The sequence below is a fragment of the Homo sapiens genome, chromosome 11, assembly GCF_000001405.40.
Source record: "Homo sapiens chromosome 11, GRCh38.p14 Primary Assembly".
NCBI classification, from domain to species: domain Eukaryota; kingdom Metazoa; phylum Chordata; class Mammalia; order Primates; family Hominidae; genus Homo; species Homo sapiens.
Window position 1 is genome coordinate 28,037,578 of NC_000011.10, and position 16,633 is coordinate 28,054,210.

General features: G+C 33.6%; 1 protein-coding gene across 3 annotated transcripts in view; it reads right to left on the reverse strand.

Annotated features, from left to right (window-relative positions):
- KIF18A (kinesin family member 18A) overlaps positions 1 to 16,633 on the reverse strand; it is an 87,538-nt gene that overhangs the window by 16,959 nt on the left and 53,946 nt on the right. The window lies entirely within an intron of this gene.

Sequence of the window (16,633 nt, forward strand, 5' to 3'; positions counted from 1 at the left end):
TCCCCAGGATATTGAGAGAAAACTGTAGTCAATTAAGCATTCTAGTTAACTGATTTGTCTCCTGTATCATACATAACTCATAGGTTTGTAAAAACAAGATTTAATACTAAAGATAAATGAAATAATTCAGAGAGTTCAGAGTACTTTCACCCTCATCACTCTGGAGAAGTCAGTCTCCCAAATGTCAAGAGGTCACTAAGTCTGATGATCTTTCTCAGCCTTATCTGATAATTCCTGTAGCTTTTCAAAATTATATCTGTACTATTCTAACATCTGTGTTATTCTCTTCTTCCATCTAGTAAATGTACACATTTCCCTAAGGAGCTGTACTTGACCCTCTAGTTGCCTTGTTCTACACAGTTTCTCATATTTCTAATTATCCTCTTACCATTACCTTCTCTGTCACCTGGGTTCCAAATTACTAGATTTTTTTTTCTACCTTTTCCCTTGCATTTTCCAATGTATACCAATTCTGTCTTTTTTATGCTTATAGTTAAAACATAATTCTGTTCATGTCATCCTTCTGATTAAAGACTTTTTAGTAATCTTTAAATAGAAACAAAATATGCTGATATTTTTAGTTGGGTAATTCTTGGTCCTTGGTCCAAAATTAAGAAACAAATTGTTTCATTAGAATTTATTACCACAATACTAGATTTAGTATTTAATGTTTAACATTTAAAAACACAAACATCTGGTAAACACCTTTTATTAATGCCCCAAATAATGACATATGTAACAATACACTTGATCAACTTCAGTGTGATTATCTTATATTTTTCAATTAACTTTTTTCTACTCTACCTACTTCATTCTGGTGAACTTCATGGTGTCTGACATGAAATACCTTTGCTTGGAGTGTACGGTCAATGGAAGAAACTATTACGTGTATTTCCATTCACGTTGTCTAATCATGAAGTAAAATTCCCAGTTGATATTTACTTTACTGTATAATACTAACTTAAAGAACATTGAAAGCAGAATAAGATAAGTGTTATGCATTTCAATAAAGCAATTCAAACTTTCAACCAAGTTAGAAAATACACTTAAACAATCAGCAACAGTACAAGCACTATTCTTATTATATTAGTTGACAATATGCTCTGCTTTGGCTAGGTTGACAATTACCCTCTAGGAAATAAAATTCAAAAACAGAAGAAAAATATGATCCCTGTTCTACTGAGGAATTTTACTTTTCTGAGAACTAGATAAATGAGATCCAGATCTTAAAATAATTTTCCACTCCCTTTAACATGACATTTGTCAAATTTTCCATTACCAGATATTTTTATACTAATGCTGCAGAGTAAAGACAGTTACTTTTCTCCACTGTGCTGCTACCACCAATTTGGTGGCTATTAATAGCTGGCAGATTAACTTCTTTTCCCATGAGAGGCAGCAGGGGTATAGGGGATAGAAAACTACATGGAGGGTAGAGGACTGAATTGGGAGTCAGGAGACTTGGATTCTATTTCTGGCTCCACCAACAGCTCACCAAGTGACCTTGGGCAACTCACTTAAGCAGTGTGGGCATTAATATCCCCTAGAAAAAAGCGGATATTACCTTTTTATATATGAATAGGATTATATGATAAGGGTTCAAAGAAAGGCTCTAGAAATGCAAATATGTTTCAACTGTTAATATTACAACTTTTACAAGGAGAGTTGTAATTTACTTTCCAATCATCAAAAACTTACTGTTATCTCTAAAACAATATATTTCAAACAGTGCTTCACTTTCAGTTTATCAGATATCCAGTTTATCAAGGCTGATGATTAATATAAACCACAGGTATTATTGAAACAGGTATATATGTTCTTTGCAAATGCAGACCTTATAATAACATTTTAAACTTTAAAATACAATGGAACATGAAATCTCAAGGGACAAGAATTATAGAGTCATTATTTTTTAAAATACATACTTAGCAGGTATAATCTCTGGGAGTGGCAACTGGGCAAATTCCCATCATGGTGGACCACATTTTCCCTACTGCTAGTAAAGAGTGATAAAAATCACAGTCTTCTGGTAGAACACTGAAGAAATATCCACGTGTCCTCTGGGATAATCTAAGCATACACCCGACATCAAATTTAGTATGATCAGACTGACTAACAATTTGTCAGTAAAAGGAATAGTGGTGTTACAGTGATATATCTTTAGCTATAATCCTGCTCTCCTGGCAGAGTATAAGCTGAAGGAATAGCATGGAGATGTGGTAGTTAATGTGGATTTACATACAATTGTTTTACTGGGCCTAGAAGAAGAGATGCTACAGACACACAACATGTATATGATATAAATCTAAAGAGTTCTTTTCATTCTCTCAATTATTAAGTTCAGATAAAATAAAAGGGCAGAAGGCAGATGGTCAATTCAGAACTACTTAGGCTGATTAGTTGCTTAGAAAGCTTCAGGAGCTAACCAGAGCAAAAACAAAATTTAAAGGTTTAAATAAAAATTTAAGTCAATCTTCTGTAACTATAAACATAAAAGGAAAATGACCCAACTTAATGAAAACTAAAAGCATAAACAACTAAATTTTACTCTGAATACAATTTTTATAATATATAAATACAATTACATAACAAATAATTATTATCCTTTAGCTAAGTTAGGTAATAAAGAACTTTATGTGGGTATGGCAAGTGGAGAGTGTTGAGTTGGGGGATCAGAAAGTTCAATAGGCTATAAGAACTGTTGGATATGTTAGGTCTATGTCTATAAAAGAGATCTGCTGTACTTTTCCATTAGAGGAAAAGGGTGTACAGTAAATTTCCAGAAGAGCAGGCATGGGACAGTTGTAGTTTCCCCTGATTCAGCTTGGGAAAACACTATCTAACAATATTCCATAATTCTTGTGCTTATAGAGTAGAAGTGATAAGAAGGAACTTGGAGGCAGATTATAATTCCTTCAGAAAGGCCCCATAAAATGAGAAAATGAATCACAAAGTTGCAGGCTGTGCCTTGCAGAACAAGAGACCATATAGATGATGATAGCCCATAAAATACCCTAGCAACGTGGGTGCTACACAGAAGGGAACAGGAAATTAAAAATGCATTGTTATAAGGCACGCTCTTGCAAACTGGAATAGGGAAGACTGGCAGTCACTTGGGAAGACATATCTCTAGGGTCTATCTAAGGAACTAGTCCAGTGTATCATATACTTAAATATAAGAGGTAGTGGGTAGCAATGTATGTTATGGTTTCTGAGTAATTTTGCTATTTCCACAACATCTCTTGAGACTTTAACTCCTCAACATATTGTAAGTGTGCTCCATTTCTATTACCTTGAATGATTATGACCCATGGGATGTAAGTGAATAGGACTTTTTGAAATTTATGCCCAAATAATAACAGGAAGCATAATGTCAAAAAATTTAAAAGAAAAAAATCACTACTACTATTTTGAATCCAGGATCAACATATGTTTTATTTATGAAAAAAAGTTGTAGTCAGCTATGGTACAAAAGCAACAATCTAAAAGGAGTACACCTGCATAAAAAGAATTCACTGTTCATCCCACCCAATATTTATTAAGTACCTACCATACCATGCTAGGTACAGTGGTAAACAAGACAGTTAAGAATTTACATTTTTGAGGGGAGAAGGCAGATGACAATAAACAAATAAAATAAATTAGGATGATAAATTAATTGTAAAGACAATAAAACAGAGAAATGGAATAGACAGTGATGGGAGATAGGATGTTTTAACTATGATGGCTAGAATAACAATTCTAAGGATGGAATATGTGATCTGAGACTTGAATGGCTAAGGAGGCAGTTCTATGAAGATCTGGGGGAAAAGGCAGAAAAAATAGCATGTGCAGAGATCCAACGGCAACAATGAATTTGTTGAGCTCGAGGAAAAGAGGCTAGTTTGATTGAAGTGCTGTGAGTTAGAGGGACAGGCAGAATAAGAGGCTAGAGAGATCAAAAGGGGCAACTTATGTTAGGATTTATGGACAAGACAAGGGTTTTTATTTATTCCAAGTGTAAAGGGAGATCTGTGGAGGGTTTCAAATATGGATATAATGTGATCTGATTGATGTTTAGGAAAAAGAGTGATTTGCTTGCTGTGTCAAGAATGGTCAAGAGAGAAAACAGAAAAATCGGTAACAAGGCTATTGCTATAGCTTAAGCAAGAAATGACAGCTTGGGTAAGAGTGGTAGGAGCAGTGATGGAGAGATGTGAGAAGGGTATTATAATATCTATATATGTAATTAGCTGCCTTATAATAAAGAGTTCACAGAAAGTAGTATATATTAATTCTACATAAGTAAATTAAGAGAAATTGACAATGCTCCATAAAACCATGAACCATTTATGCATGTCATTCCCTCAACTTTGGCATTCTTTTTTTTTTGACATCCCCTTCCCTCTACTCCCACTCATCAAGCTTGGGATCCTGTCCTCTATTCAGGAGTTCTGATCCATGTAACTGTAGGAGTCCTGGAATCTGCATTTTTCCCTTTCTAGTTTGGACACTCATAGAGACTTGAGGCAGTAGAAACTCTTTGGGGTTTGAGGCTGTGATTTCTTATTCAGAGACGATGAGTGTTATTATTATGCTGAGGTAGGGGAAAGGAAAGAAAAGGAGTAAGGATAAGTAGGAAACAGTCCTAGAACAAAAGTAGCAGATAGAGACAGTATTGAAAATGAAGTTCACCTCCTAGGAAGTTGTACCAAAGGCAATTAATGGGTAAGATTTAAGTTGGTAGAATGATGTTAAAAACAGCATCTCTTTTTAGGTTAGGCACCCTACTGTCTCTGCATATTCATCTCTGGACACTCCCAAACAATTAAAACAGGTTTATAGACAGTTCCAGGCATAGACATACTATGTTTTCAGATACAAGGTCTAATTGCTCCTCTTATAATATTTTGTTAGTATAGCATTCAGTTCTTTAAAAAGGAGCCAATGCATTTTGATCCATGTTTAAGGAAGCTTGAAAATGCAAAATGCAAACTTGTAATGAATGAGTTTTGATAAAAGAATATACATATTAGAATCTTTTCTTTTTGATAGGGAAGGAATTTAGAAAGACACTGGCTGCTTGAAGAATTTCTCACTAGAAACAGTACTTGGTTGGCACACTTGAGAAATACCCATAGTACAAGGAGGCATTTGAAGGTTAACTGCAAAAGACAATTTTAACCAAAGTGATAACCTGAATAGAGGCATCTAGCGCCCACTCAGATTCCCTTTAAAATGATCACATCATTAAAAAAAGGGTAAACTTGACCTAATGTTGGTAATGGGAAAACATTATCATCTGAGTGCCAGAACATTAGAGGACTTTCTAAAGAGTATTGTATAGCTCAGACTCTTAAGGGAAGGCATGGAGGAGAATGACTTATAGTACTCCCTATCCTTTACCCTTCAGTGCTATCCCAAGGAGTTAAGTAAAAGACACTGGCAGATATCAGTAAAGGGCCTTAAATTAGAACCAGGGATGATGGGGTAAGGTGGGAGTTGGGGAGAATGAGTGAGACACAGCTATGCAATATAGTAAAATGGCAACATCTGAACACTAAAAGTAGCGCTAAGAGGCTCTAAAATTCAGTCCTGGCTCAGTTGTTTCAGTGCAGAAAAAAAATATTAAAAAGTACCCGATATTATCAGGCTTGTTCCCATCACTGTTGGCTATATCACACATGGATGAGATACTCTTGGGCAAAGGGGCAGATTTCTAGCTGAGACTACCTGTGGCTCTGGTTCCTTCCCTACATTCCCTGGGCTGTTGGATCAGTGGACAGGAATATATTTTTTCCCCTTAATTTTACAGGAAAAAACATAATTATAATAAGCAAACAGAAAACTCACTGGACCTATAAAAAGAAAATGTAAAGAAATGACAGAACTGGCATACAAACTCAGACCTTTTGCTAATCCAGATGCCAAGTTCTTCACCACCACACAATGCTGAGCCCCTACCACAGAAGTTAATTAAATCACTTAGGCAATGACTAAATAACTAAATGAACATGAACATCCACAATTACACTGATATTTAAAACTATATTTTATAGATTATTTGATGATATAAAAAAATGTTCATTAATGAGGTAGTATACAGTATGATCCCAATTTTGACAAAACAAAAACAAAAACAAAAACAAAAACCAAATCAAAGCGCACAAACCTCCTGAGCAAAAATGGGGGGAAAAGTAATAGAAAACAGAGAAGGAAATATAATCCAATTCATCAAAATGTTAACACAGGTTTATAGCTCACTGGGAAAATAATGAATTATTTTATTTTCCTTTTTATACATTTGATTATTTTATATAATAAATATAATCCTGCTCTGTAAAATAATAAATGACCAAAAAAAAAAAGGGGGAATAATGTTTGGGGTGGTGGGTAGGAAGCCAATAAAAAATCAGCTCTTTCAAACCTCTGAAGATCTCAGGAACTGAAGGCATGAGGTTGTCTCTGAAAGCACAGGGTGGAGTTAAAACAGGAGAATTCTTGGAAGTCTGTATAAGGAAGTTGGATTCCCAGATCTCCCTTACCCCATTACCATCACCTACATTGCTAGGTAACTGCTCCTTTGTTACCCTATTAAAAGACATGAAGTTTTACTCTCTGGATAGGCTGTAGACTGGGGCCAACATGCACAGCTGACACTAGGTGCATTAAATAATTTCTTAATAATAAATATATGCTGATTTTTCTCCCACTTCTCTGTAATACTGGTAGCCAGGCCCATATACCCCCTAAATGGAAAATCAAAAAGTTCTTTGTAAATGAAACATAAAAATAAAAAAGATGGACATCTGTAGGTTCCCCCAGATTGACTAGTTTTCTGGAGATAACTATAAATCAGAGCTTTGTTTAATAAGTCCAACCCTAGTTTTGTAATAGTTACTCATTAATAGTTTAGCAAACATTTTTAAAATATTTATATGATGCTTTAAGGCATCCTATAAAAAACTGAAAGTATGCGTTTCAGGATAAAGTGGCGAGTGTTCTATTCATCTGTTCCTGCATTATGGCTAGAGATTCCCGCTTCAAAAAGTTTGTTTACTGTAAGTCCAAAGACAGACTTAAAAAGGAAGTTAGACAAAAACATTTTGTTGAGACTGCCAAGTTTTAGAAGCCTCTCAAAAGACTTTTAAGTATTAAAACCACTTTTAAAATTAACTGTAAATGCATGCACTGAAATCATGGATTAGATGGAGAAGAAATACAAATATTTTCATCAATAACCCAGGTTCTAAAACAATGTAACATGGATTACAACAGAAGTATATTAACATTAGTATTATAGAGTATTAAATTTGCTATTAATAAAACCACAGCTAAAAATAAAAACAAAAACAGTGAAATCATAATGAAAACATAATTAATTTGCATGACAAACTACATTTGCTAAGTGGTTATAAAAATTATAAATAAATATTTGGTGAGTGGTTAAGTGGTTAAAAAAGTAAACAAAGTTTGGATATTCATCTGCCATTCACTATCTCTCAAATGTGTAGGATTTTAAGACATATAATTGATGAATGGTAGTGTAATAAAAGCAATAAATTGGGCATTTTGATTTTGACAATAAAACATAGGATAATCTGATGAAGTACATAAAAAAGACTTGAAAAAAGTTTGATAAATTGACTGCCTATACCTCAAGAGAAACATCTACAAATGTATTTATTGGTGGTATTGCTCTTTAAGCTACTTAAGTCTACCTATAAGGACAATCAATCTACTTCAGTATTTGCATCTTTCAAATATTTCAATTCTCCAGGAAGTCTATCTCACAGATTTGGCTGAGGACTGTGAAACGTTTCCAGTAAAAAGCAGAAAAAAAGGAAAAAAAAAAAGAGATGCTTCATGTCTGTTTCCCTAAAATTAGTTTTAAGAAATGTCAGTATATTCTTACTTCTAATAAATGTTTTAAATAATATTTTATTTAATTATAAAATATTTCCTTAAGTAGGCTCTAAATGTTACACATATTAACATATGTATAAATATAATGTGAAATTGCATACTTTATGTATATATTATATAACATACACATGTCACTTCTTACCTGATCCTGCTAAAATACATTAGCAAAACCAGAGAAGAAATAAGGTGGCGGTGTTGTAAGTGAGCTAATTCTTCATCTCTCATGATTAGAAGTTATAACATCTAAACACTAATGAATCAAGAAACAGCAGTATAGCATACTGTTTAGAAATATTGTAGGTTGCAACCTACTCATCTGACAAAGGGCTAATATCCAGAATCTACAATGAACTCAAACAAATTTACAAGAAAAAAACAACCCCATCAAAAAGTGGGTGAAGGACATGAACAGACACTTCTCAAAAGAAGACATTTATGCAGCCAAAAAACACATGAAAAAATGCTCATCATCACTGGCCATCAGAGAAATGCAAATCAAAACCACAATGAGATACCATCTCACACCAGTTAGAATGGCAATCATTAAAAAGTCAGGAAACAACAGGTGCTGGAGAGGATGTAGAGAAATAGGAACACTTTTACACTGTTGGTGGGACTGTCAACTAGTTCAACCATTGTGGAAGTCAGTGTGGCGATTCCTCAGGGATCTAGAACTAGAAGTACCATTTGACCCAGCCATCCCATTACTGGGTATATATACCCAAAGGACTATAAATCATGCTGCTATAAAGACACATGCACACGTATGTTTATTGCGGCACTATTCACAATAGCAAAGACTTGGAACCAACCCAAATGTCCAACAATGATAGACTGGATTAAGAAAATGTGGCACATATACACCATGGAAGACTATGCAGCCATAAAAAATGATGAGTTCATGTCCTTTGTAGGGACATGGATGAAATTGGAAATCATCATTCTCAGTAAACTATTGCAAGAACAAAAAACCAAACACCGCATATTCTCACTCATAGGTGGGAATTGAACAATGAGATCACATGGACACAGGAAGGGGAACATCACACTCTGGGGACTGTTGTGGGGTAGGGGGAGGGGGGAGGGATAGCATTGGGAGATATACCTAATGCTAGATGACGAGTTAGTGGGTGCAGCGCACCAGCATGGCACATGTATACATATGTAACTAACCTGCACAATGTGCACATGTACCCTAAAACTTAAAGTATAATAATAAAAGAAAAAAAAAAAGAAAAAAAATATTGAAATTAAATGAAAAAAAAAAAAAGAAATATTGTAAATACTGTCTGGCTGTGGTGGCTCATGCCTGTAATCCCAGCACTTTGGGAGGCTGAGATAGGTGGATCACCGGAGGTCAGGAGTTTAAGACCAGCCTGGTAAATGTGGTGAAACCCCTTCTCTACTAAAAATACAAAAAAATTAGCCGGGCCTGGTGGTGGGCGCCTGTAATCCCAGCTATTTGGGAGGCTGAGGGAGGAGAATCGCTTGAACCTGGGATGCAGAGGTTGCAGTGAGCCTAGGTCATGCCATTGCAGTCCAGCCTGGGCAACAAGAGCAACACTTCGTCTCAGAAAAAAAAAAAAAAAAAAAAAAGAGAAAGAAATATTGTAAATATTGTAAGTTTGTTATATATAATCATCCAGCATATATTCCAATAGAAAACAGAAAAATCCCCAGTAATTTTATATCTTCCTAAGGATAGTTTTAAGAAATGTTGGAAATGTCCTTAAAACAGTTGTCAATGACAAGTCAAATCCAAATAATTTGAAACCAAATGCTTGGTTTTAGTCCATCGCTACAAGAAAAAAGGAATAAACTTACACACAAATGTTTCCTAATAGCAAAAACTGAAAGGCTCAAGCAAGATAAGGCCTTACGTACTTTAACTATGACATTTCTATGTCATGGGAATTATATAGTTTAGCAATCTATATCTATTTTTCACTGAATCTCTACTTTAAAAGAGTGGTCCTAACTACTGGCCACCAGGAAAGTTACAATGGGGATCATCTTATACAAACAACCAGAATTTAGTACTAGATGGTTTTAGTGTTTATTTAAACTTCATTATTTTATAATTTGTTGCTCACAGCAAGAAAATGACATTCTCAAAGTCATGATAGCAATTATATTTGTTGTTGCCAGAGTTGGAGTCATGTTTCTTATTTTCCAGGTAGAAGTCAGGTAAAAAGTAATGCAAGTAATACAGAGTAATAACATATATAATAAACATAATGGAGACTTAAAAAAATAAAACTTTCTTCACAGACTCAAAAATATGAATAGGAGGCAACATACTACTTCATTGCTCCCAAAATGAAATGCTATTTCCTATTATTACTGAAAAGAGAAAGTAGGCAAATAAAATATGAATATCTTCATAACTTAAAATTGGGTTACATAAAAATCAAAACCAACCATGAATAAGAGAGAAAAAAATACATGTAACACATTTGGCAAAGGATTTAGAGCTCGTGTATGTGTATGTATGTATGTCTATGTATACATGTGTATATAGGTTGGCTGGTCTGTCTCTGAGAGAAATAATTCTTACAAAACAAAATGGATAAGAGCAAAATAAGGCAAAGGAAGAGGCAGTTAATTCAGAACAAACTATAACTAGACAAAAAGCACATGAAAAAATGTTCACCTTCACCTTCATTACCCACTTACAATGGTAGACTACACTTATAATAGTTCTGGGGGTGGGGAATCTGACAATGCATATCTAATGCCTTTAAAGTATACATACTGTTTGATTAAGCTATTCTTCTTCTAAGGGCTTAGCCTAAGGAAATAATTAGGCAAGTTGCAAAATAAATACACATGCACAGACATTTAATGGGGTGTCGCTTGTAATAATAAAGTGAAAACAAACTAAATGTTAATTAGCAGGAGATTAGGCAAATATAATATGCAGCTATTAAAAATGACTTAAATTCATATTCGTTGATAGCAAAATGTGTCTACAGCAAGTAGTTCAGTGAAAAAGAGGCTGGTTATCAACTATATATATATAATAGATTCCACTGTTCTTGTTTTAAAAAAGCAAACCACAAATGTATGCTTAGAAAAAAAGTTCAGTAGGCTATTAAAACTAAATACTAATATAAGTTAATAAAGTATATCTTGTTTCTTTTGGCTTCACTTTTTTCCAAATTAAAATAAACAAATATTTATTGCTAAGACAGTAACAAGGTTAAAACACTAGTGAAAGGAATAAAAAACTTAAAAGCCATGGGAATACAGATGAATATATGCAGGCAAAGGAAAGATGATCCATTAAAAGGAAGATTTAATAAAGAAGGAAGTATCTGAATTGGACTCTCATTGTGGAGAAAGATTTAGGCCAAGAAGTGGGATGGATGTAGAGAAAACAAGCATTTGAAATTGATGGAAAAGCTTGGAAATTGCAGAGGCCAGAAACAGAAATCATGATAACAGAAGGTTGGGATACAAGGTGCTGGACAAAAGTATGCCTATAGCTTGACACTGGACTTGGAAAGCCTTTGAAGACTCTTCTGAGAGGTCTACACTTTATTAGGAAGATCACTTTGTTGGCAGTGTGAAGTGTAGACTGCAGTGGAAAGAGACAAGAGAAATTAAAACTAGTTTAGATGTCACTATATTATTCATTTCTTATGCCAAATTTTCTAAAAATATTTTAAAATAAATTAAGAAACATCTTTTTCTCTCTTTGTTTTAAATAAATCTCTAAAACATAATTGCTAAATGGCAATTCATGTGGTTTCTTAAGTAGAGGGGGCTTTATATTTATTTTTCAGCTTTTGGAAATATTTCACAGATGGTTCCTTTACATAAAATAAAGAGACTAGATAATTTATCACTAATGGGTTTAAAATCCCTCTCTTAAAAATGGGCAGGGCTTTTGGGGTCATCTTTTGATGTGCCATATCATGTGTTCTGAATGATTTTACCCAGAGGAAGTAATTTATCAAAAGTTTAAGACTGTAAACGTTAAGAGATTTATAGAGCTGTATGTTATTGTAAAGGAAGAATGCGGTATTTAGCAAACATGAGTCATAGGCTGCAAAGTAGGGTTCATGACAGGGAGACATTGATGAATGGGATTAGATCTAATTGAGGTTTGGTACAAAACGATGGCAAGGATTCTTCCTTTGCAAGCAAGCACTCCTGTTAATATGTACGTGAGGAGAAATTCTGGGAAACTGTGCTAAATCAAAATTAGTTGGCAAAGTTCTAAAGTGAAATCAAATATTAATGTATACATTTCAATAAAAACTTCTAGGCTACAAATGATTGATACAATTAGTGTACTCATCATAAATCTGGATTCTTTTTAACAGCCTTATGACTCATGGAATTCATAGTTGCAAATGATACAGGTAAATGAATTTTAACTATTTATAAGATACGTAAACTTATCTTATAAGATAAAGTACCATTAAATTAACCAAATATAAGATAAGGTACCACTAAATTAACCAAACTAATAAACATTTTATAATACACTTATGAGACACTCTCATGGTTAGGGATGTATAATAGTTCCCTAATACATAGGGAACTATTGTCCTAATACATAGGGAACTATTATAGTCCTTTAAATTAATCCAGCACTTTGAATAATAAATCAACCCATAACCTTTTGATATTTTTTCTGTGGGAAATAGCAGATATCATGTTTCTCTCTCAGTTTCATTTTCTCAGTATTTACACTTACCAAAGATGGAAAAGAAGGGACAATACAAAGAACCTTTTAATTCACAGTAATATTTGCAGCTATAGATGAATAACTAAATACTGTCTTATGTACATGGGGATGATAAGTCAAACAAAATGTATTTAGGGATACAAGCATGATTTCCATTGTTTCATGATTAAATTTTGTTGCCAAATGGAAAAAATATGGAAGATTTGGTTTATTAACATTTTCCTGCTTTATATTTGTTATATGAGAAATTAGTATAGAGATTTCCTATCTTTCAAATGAAATTTCCTTGTATTCAAGTAATTTTAGGGGAAACTTAAACTTATGTGTGAACTCTATATTCAATCAGAATATTGGTACTATGTTAAGAGACTGGTTCTCCTAGTATCTTTTATTGTACTTTAAGATAAAATCACTGACATTGGGTGCAAAATTTTAAAAAAGGAAAGGTTACAGACAGAAGTATTACCAAATGTGAGTTTCCAGATGGATAATGAGGAAATCTTGACTTTTCATTTAATGTCAGAAATTTTATCAGTTCCATAAATAAATTTTGCTGTCAGCACCCCCGTCTTGCACTACACTTAGTGAGTGTGCTATCTATTTTCCAGACCCCAAAATAGGTACATATTTTACTCTTAGTCAATACACTTGTAGTTTGAAGGTAAAGATTTCACGTCAAATAAATATCTATTCAAAAATCAAGTCTATTTATTAGAAAATAATTAAAATTCATAAAATTTACAAAATTAGTTTCTTCCAAAATAAGAATTTAGGCTTATTAATTTAAGAAAAGTAAAAAGTAGTCTATGTCACAAAAATACAAAATATTGTATCTAGGGATCTATTCAGTCAAATTTATAAAACACTTACGAAGAAAACTCTGAAACTTTGCTGAGGAACATACAAAAAGATATGCATACAGGGAGACAAACTATTCTAGAGTACGAAGATTTGATATTGGAAATATGTGAAGTCAATTTATGAATTAAAAAAATTTCATTTCCTTGAAACTGGAAATTATTCTGATATTCATTTCCTAGACAAAGCAAAGAATATTTTTCAGACAAAGAATAATGAAGAAGGGCTAGCATACTATATAAAAAAAACTATAAAGTATCACATATTAAAATAATAGCTACTGGCCCTAAGACAGACAAACAGGTGAAACAATAGAGTAGAAATTGAGTAAACAGAATTATATATGACTACTTACTGTACAAAAAACACAGTGGCTGTTAAGGATGCATTGCCAATATATCTATATAAGAATGCTAGTCTCCTTGGAAAAAATAAATTTAGATTCTTGCCTATCATTTAACACCAACATAAATTAGGAGAAAGTGGAAACAAAAATTTAAAAGCTTATGAATGGAAAGGCCTTTTGAGGAAAGATCCCGAAGGCAGTAAGAGAGAGAAAAAAGCTATTTTACTACATAAATGTTTTAACTTTCAGCATTAAAAAGGAAACCTCAAACAAAAGCAAGAATAAGTGGCAAATCTTGAAGGGTATAGTTATACTATGTATATTACAGGAAAAAGTTAATATCCCTTAGTGATTTCATCCTGTCCTATGGCTTTAAATATCATCTAAATGTTAACAACTCTCGAATTTATGTTTTAGCTTAGACTTCTCTCCTGAACTTCAGATTCTTAACTGCCTACATGATGTCTCCACTTGGATGTATCTTAGACAAATTTAACATGCCTAGAACTGAACTCCTAATTTTCTACAACCTCCACCCTGTATACCTGCTCCATCTGAAGTCTTCCTTATCTCTCTGAAGGTGACTCAATTCTTTTAGATGCTAAGTTCCAAAATTTTAGATTCAGTCTTAAGCATTTCTTTCTCTCCTATTCCAAATCTAATTTTCTTGGAAATCTTGCTGGCTCTACCTTCAAAACATTTTAGAATCTGACCACTTCTCACCAGCTCCAATGCTATTATCCTGGTCTGAATAACCTCCATCTTTTGCCTGGGTTATTCTAGTGCCTCCTCATGTTTCAGCCCTTGCCATAGTATAATCTATTCTCACCACAGCAGTCAGAGAGATCTTTTAAGAGCACAATTGAGGTATGTTACATTTCTGCTCAGACCATGTCATGGCTCCTTGTTTTATTCAGAGTAAAAGACTAATTAAGTCCTGATAGTAACCTACAAGGCCCTATGTGATCTGCCTTCCTTCCCTTTATCTCTCTGATCTCCTCACTACTTTCATTCTCTTTTTCTTTGTACCAGTTATATATCCTCACCAGCCTTTGAATATGTCAGGCAAATTCCTATGTTAGAGATTTTGCACTGTGATTGTGTCCCTCTACCTAAAAAAGTTTCTTCTCCCAGATATTCATATAGCTAGTCCTGTGAAGTCCTTCAAGTTTTATCAGTGAGATCCTCCCTGACCATGCTACTGAAAATAGCAATCTCTCTCCTCCCTGGCCACACTCCTGAACTCCCTTTATTTCTTTCTTATAGCATGTAGTACCTCCTAGCATTCTGTTTAATTTATTTACTATATTATTGTCTTTCTCTACTAGAAGTGAGCTCCTTGAGGGTGGTGGAGTTTGTTTCATACTTTGATCCCTATCATCAGACAAGTGCCTGAAATACTGCTGTAAGTTAAACACTGTTGAATGAATGAAAAAAAACCTACACTTAAGATCTTGTAAAAAAGTAACGATTGTTACTAAAGATGACTATATCAGAAAAATGTCAAAGGATGGCTGGGCAATTCACAGAAAAAAGACTCTTCAATTAAAAAAAACACACTCAACTATATTAGTAATGAATATGGAAAAAAGATAGTATTTATGACTATTGGCAAAGTATCAACAAGCATTGCCATTACTTTCAATGATGAAAACCACAATTACTTCTGCACTAACCTAAAAATTAGCAAAGACAAAAGTGGGAGAGAGTGTCCAAGATTAAAAAAGACTGCATAGGCATGAACCTTGTTTGTATCTTAATTCAAACAAATCATAGAAACAAATAATTTATGAGACAATGGGGGAAATTTGCACACATTAGATATTTGATGACATTTTTCTTTTATACACACTTGATGTAAATGGAAGAAATGATGTGCTGTCTGAGATCTACTTTTTTTTGTTTTGTTTTTTGAAATAAAACTTTATTTATTAACACTGAAATTTGAATGTTTTATAATTATCAGGTGTCACAAAATATTTTTCTAATTTTTTCCAGTCATATACAAATGTGAAAAAAAAAATCTTGGCACATGGGACATAAAAAACAGATAGTGAATCAGCTTTGGCCTGCAAGCTACAACTAAATGAATCCTAATCTTTTTTTAATTTTATTATTTATTTATTTTTTAATTATACTTTAAGTTTTAGGGTACATGTGCACAACGTGCAGGTTAGTTACATATGTATACATGTGCCATGTTGGTGTGCTGCACCCATTAACTTGTCATTTAACATTAGGTATACCTCCTAATGCTATCCCTCCCCCCTTTCCCCCACCCCATAACAGGCCCCAGTGTATGATGTTCCCCTTCCTGTGTCCATGTGTTCTCCGAGATCTACTTTAAAATAATCTAGTGTAAGAGCTGGGGTGGAGGAAAGCAGATGGGTTTTCAAGACTAGACATGAGCTGATAAGTTTTAAAGTTAGGTGTTGGGCACATGGTACTCATAGTATTCTTTGTGCTTATATACATGTTTGTAATTGATTTACTAAAGGTAGAAATTAAAAATATTTTAACATCAAAAGCTGGTGAGGCTAAAAAAAAAAAAAAAGCTCCTTCATTTATACTGCTTGATGGGGGTTAAATCACTTGAAGGAGGAGAGTTATTTGGCAATATATATTTCAAATTTTGCATAATGGGCATTTATCTTGAGCCAGAAATTTTACTTCTAAGAATTTATTGTAGGGATAGTCAGATATGAGCACAAAGATAAATATACATATTTGCTTACTAAAACATTATTGGCAATAATAGTGAAAATTTATTAAACAACCCAAATGCCCAACAATATAGACTATATTCATTATAGTTAATCTCATCA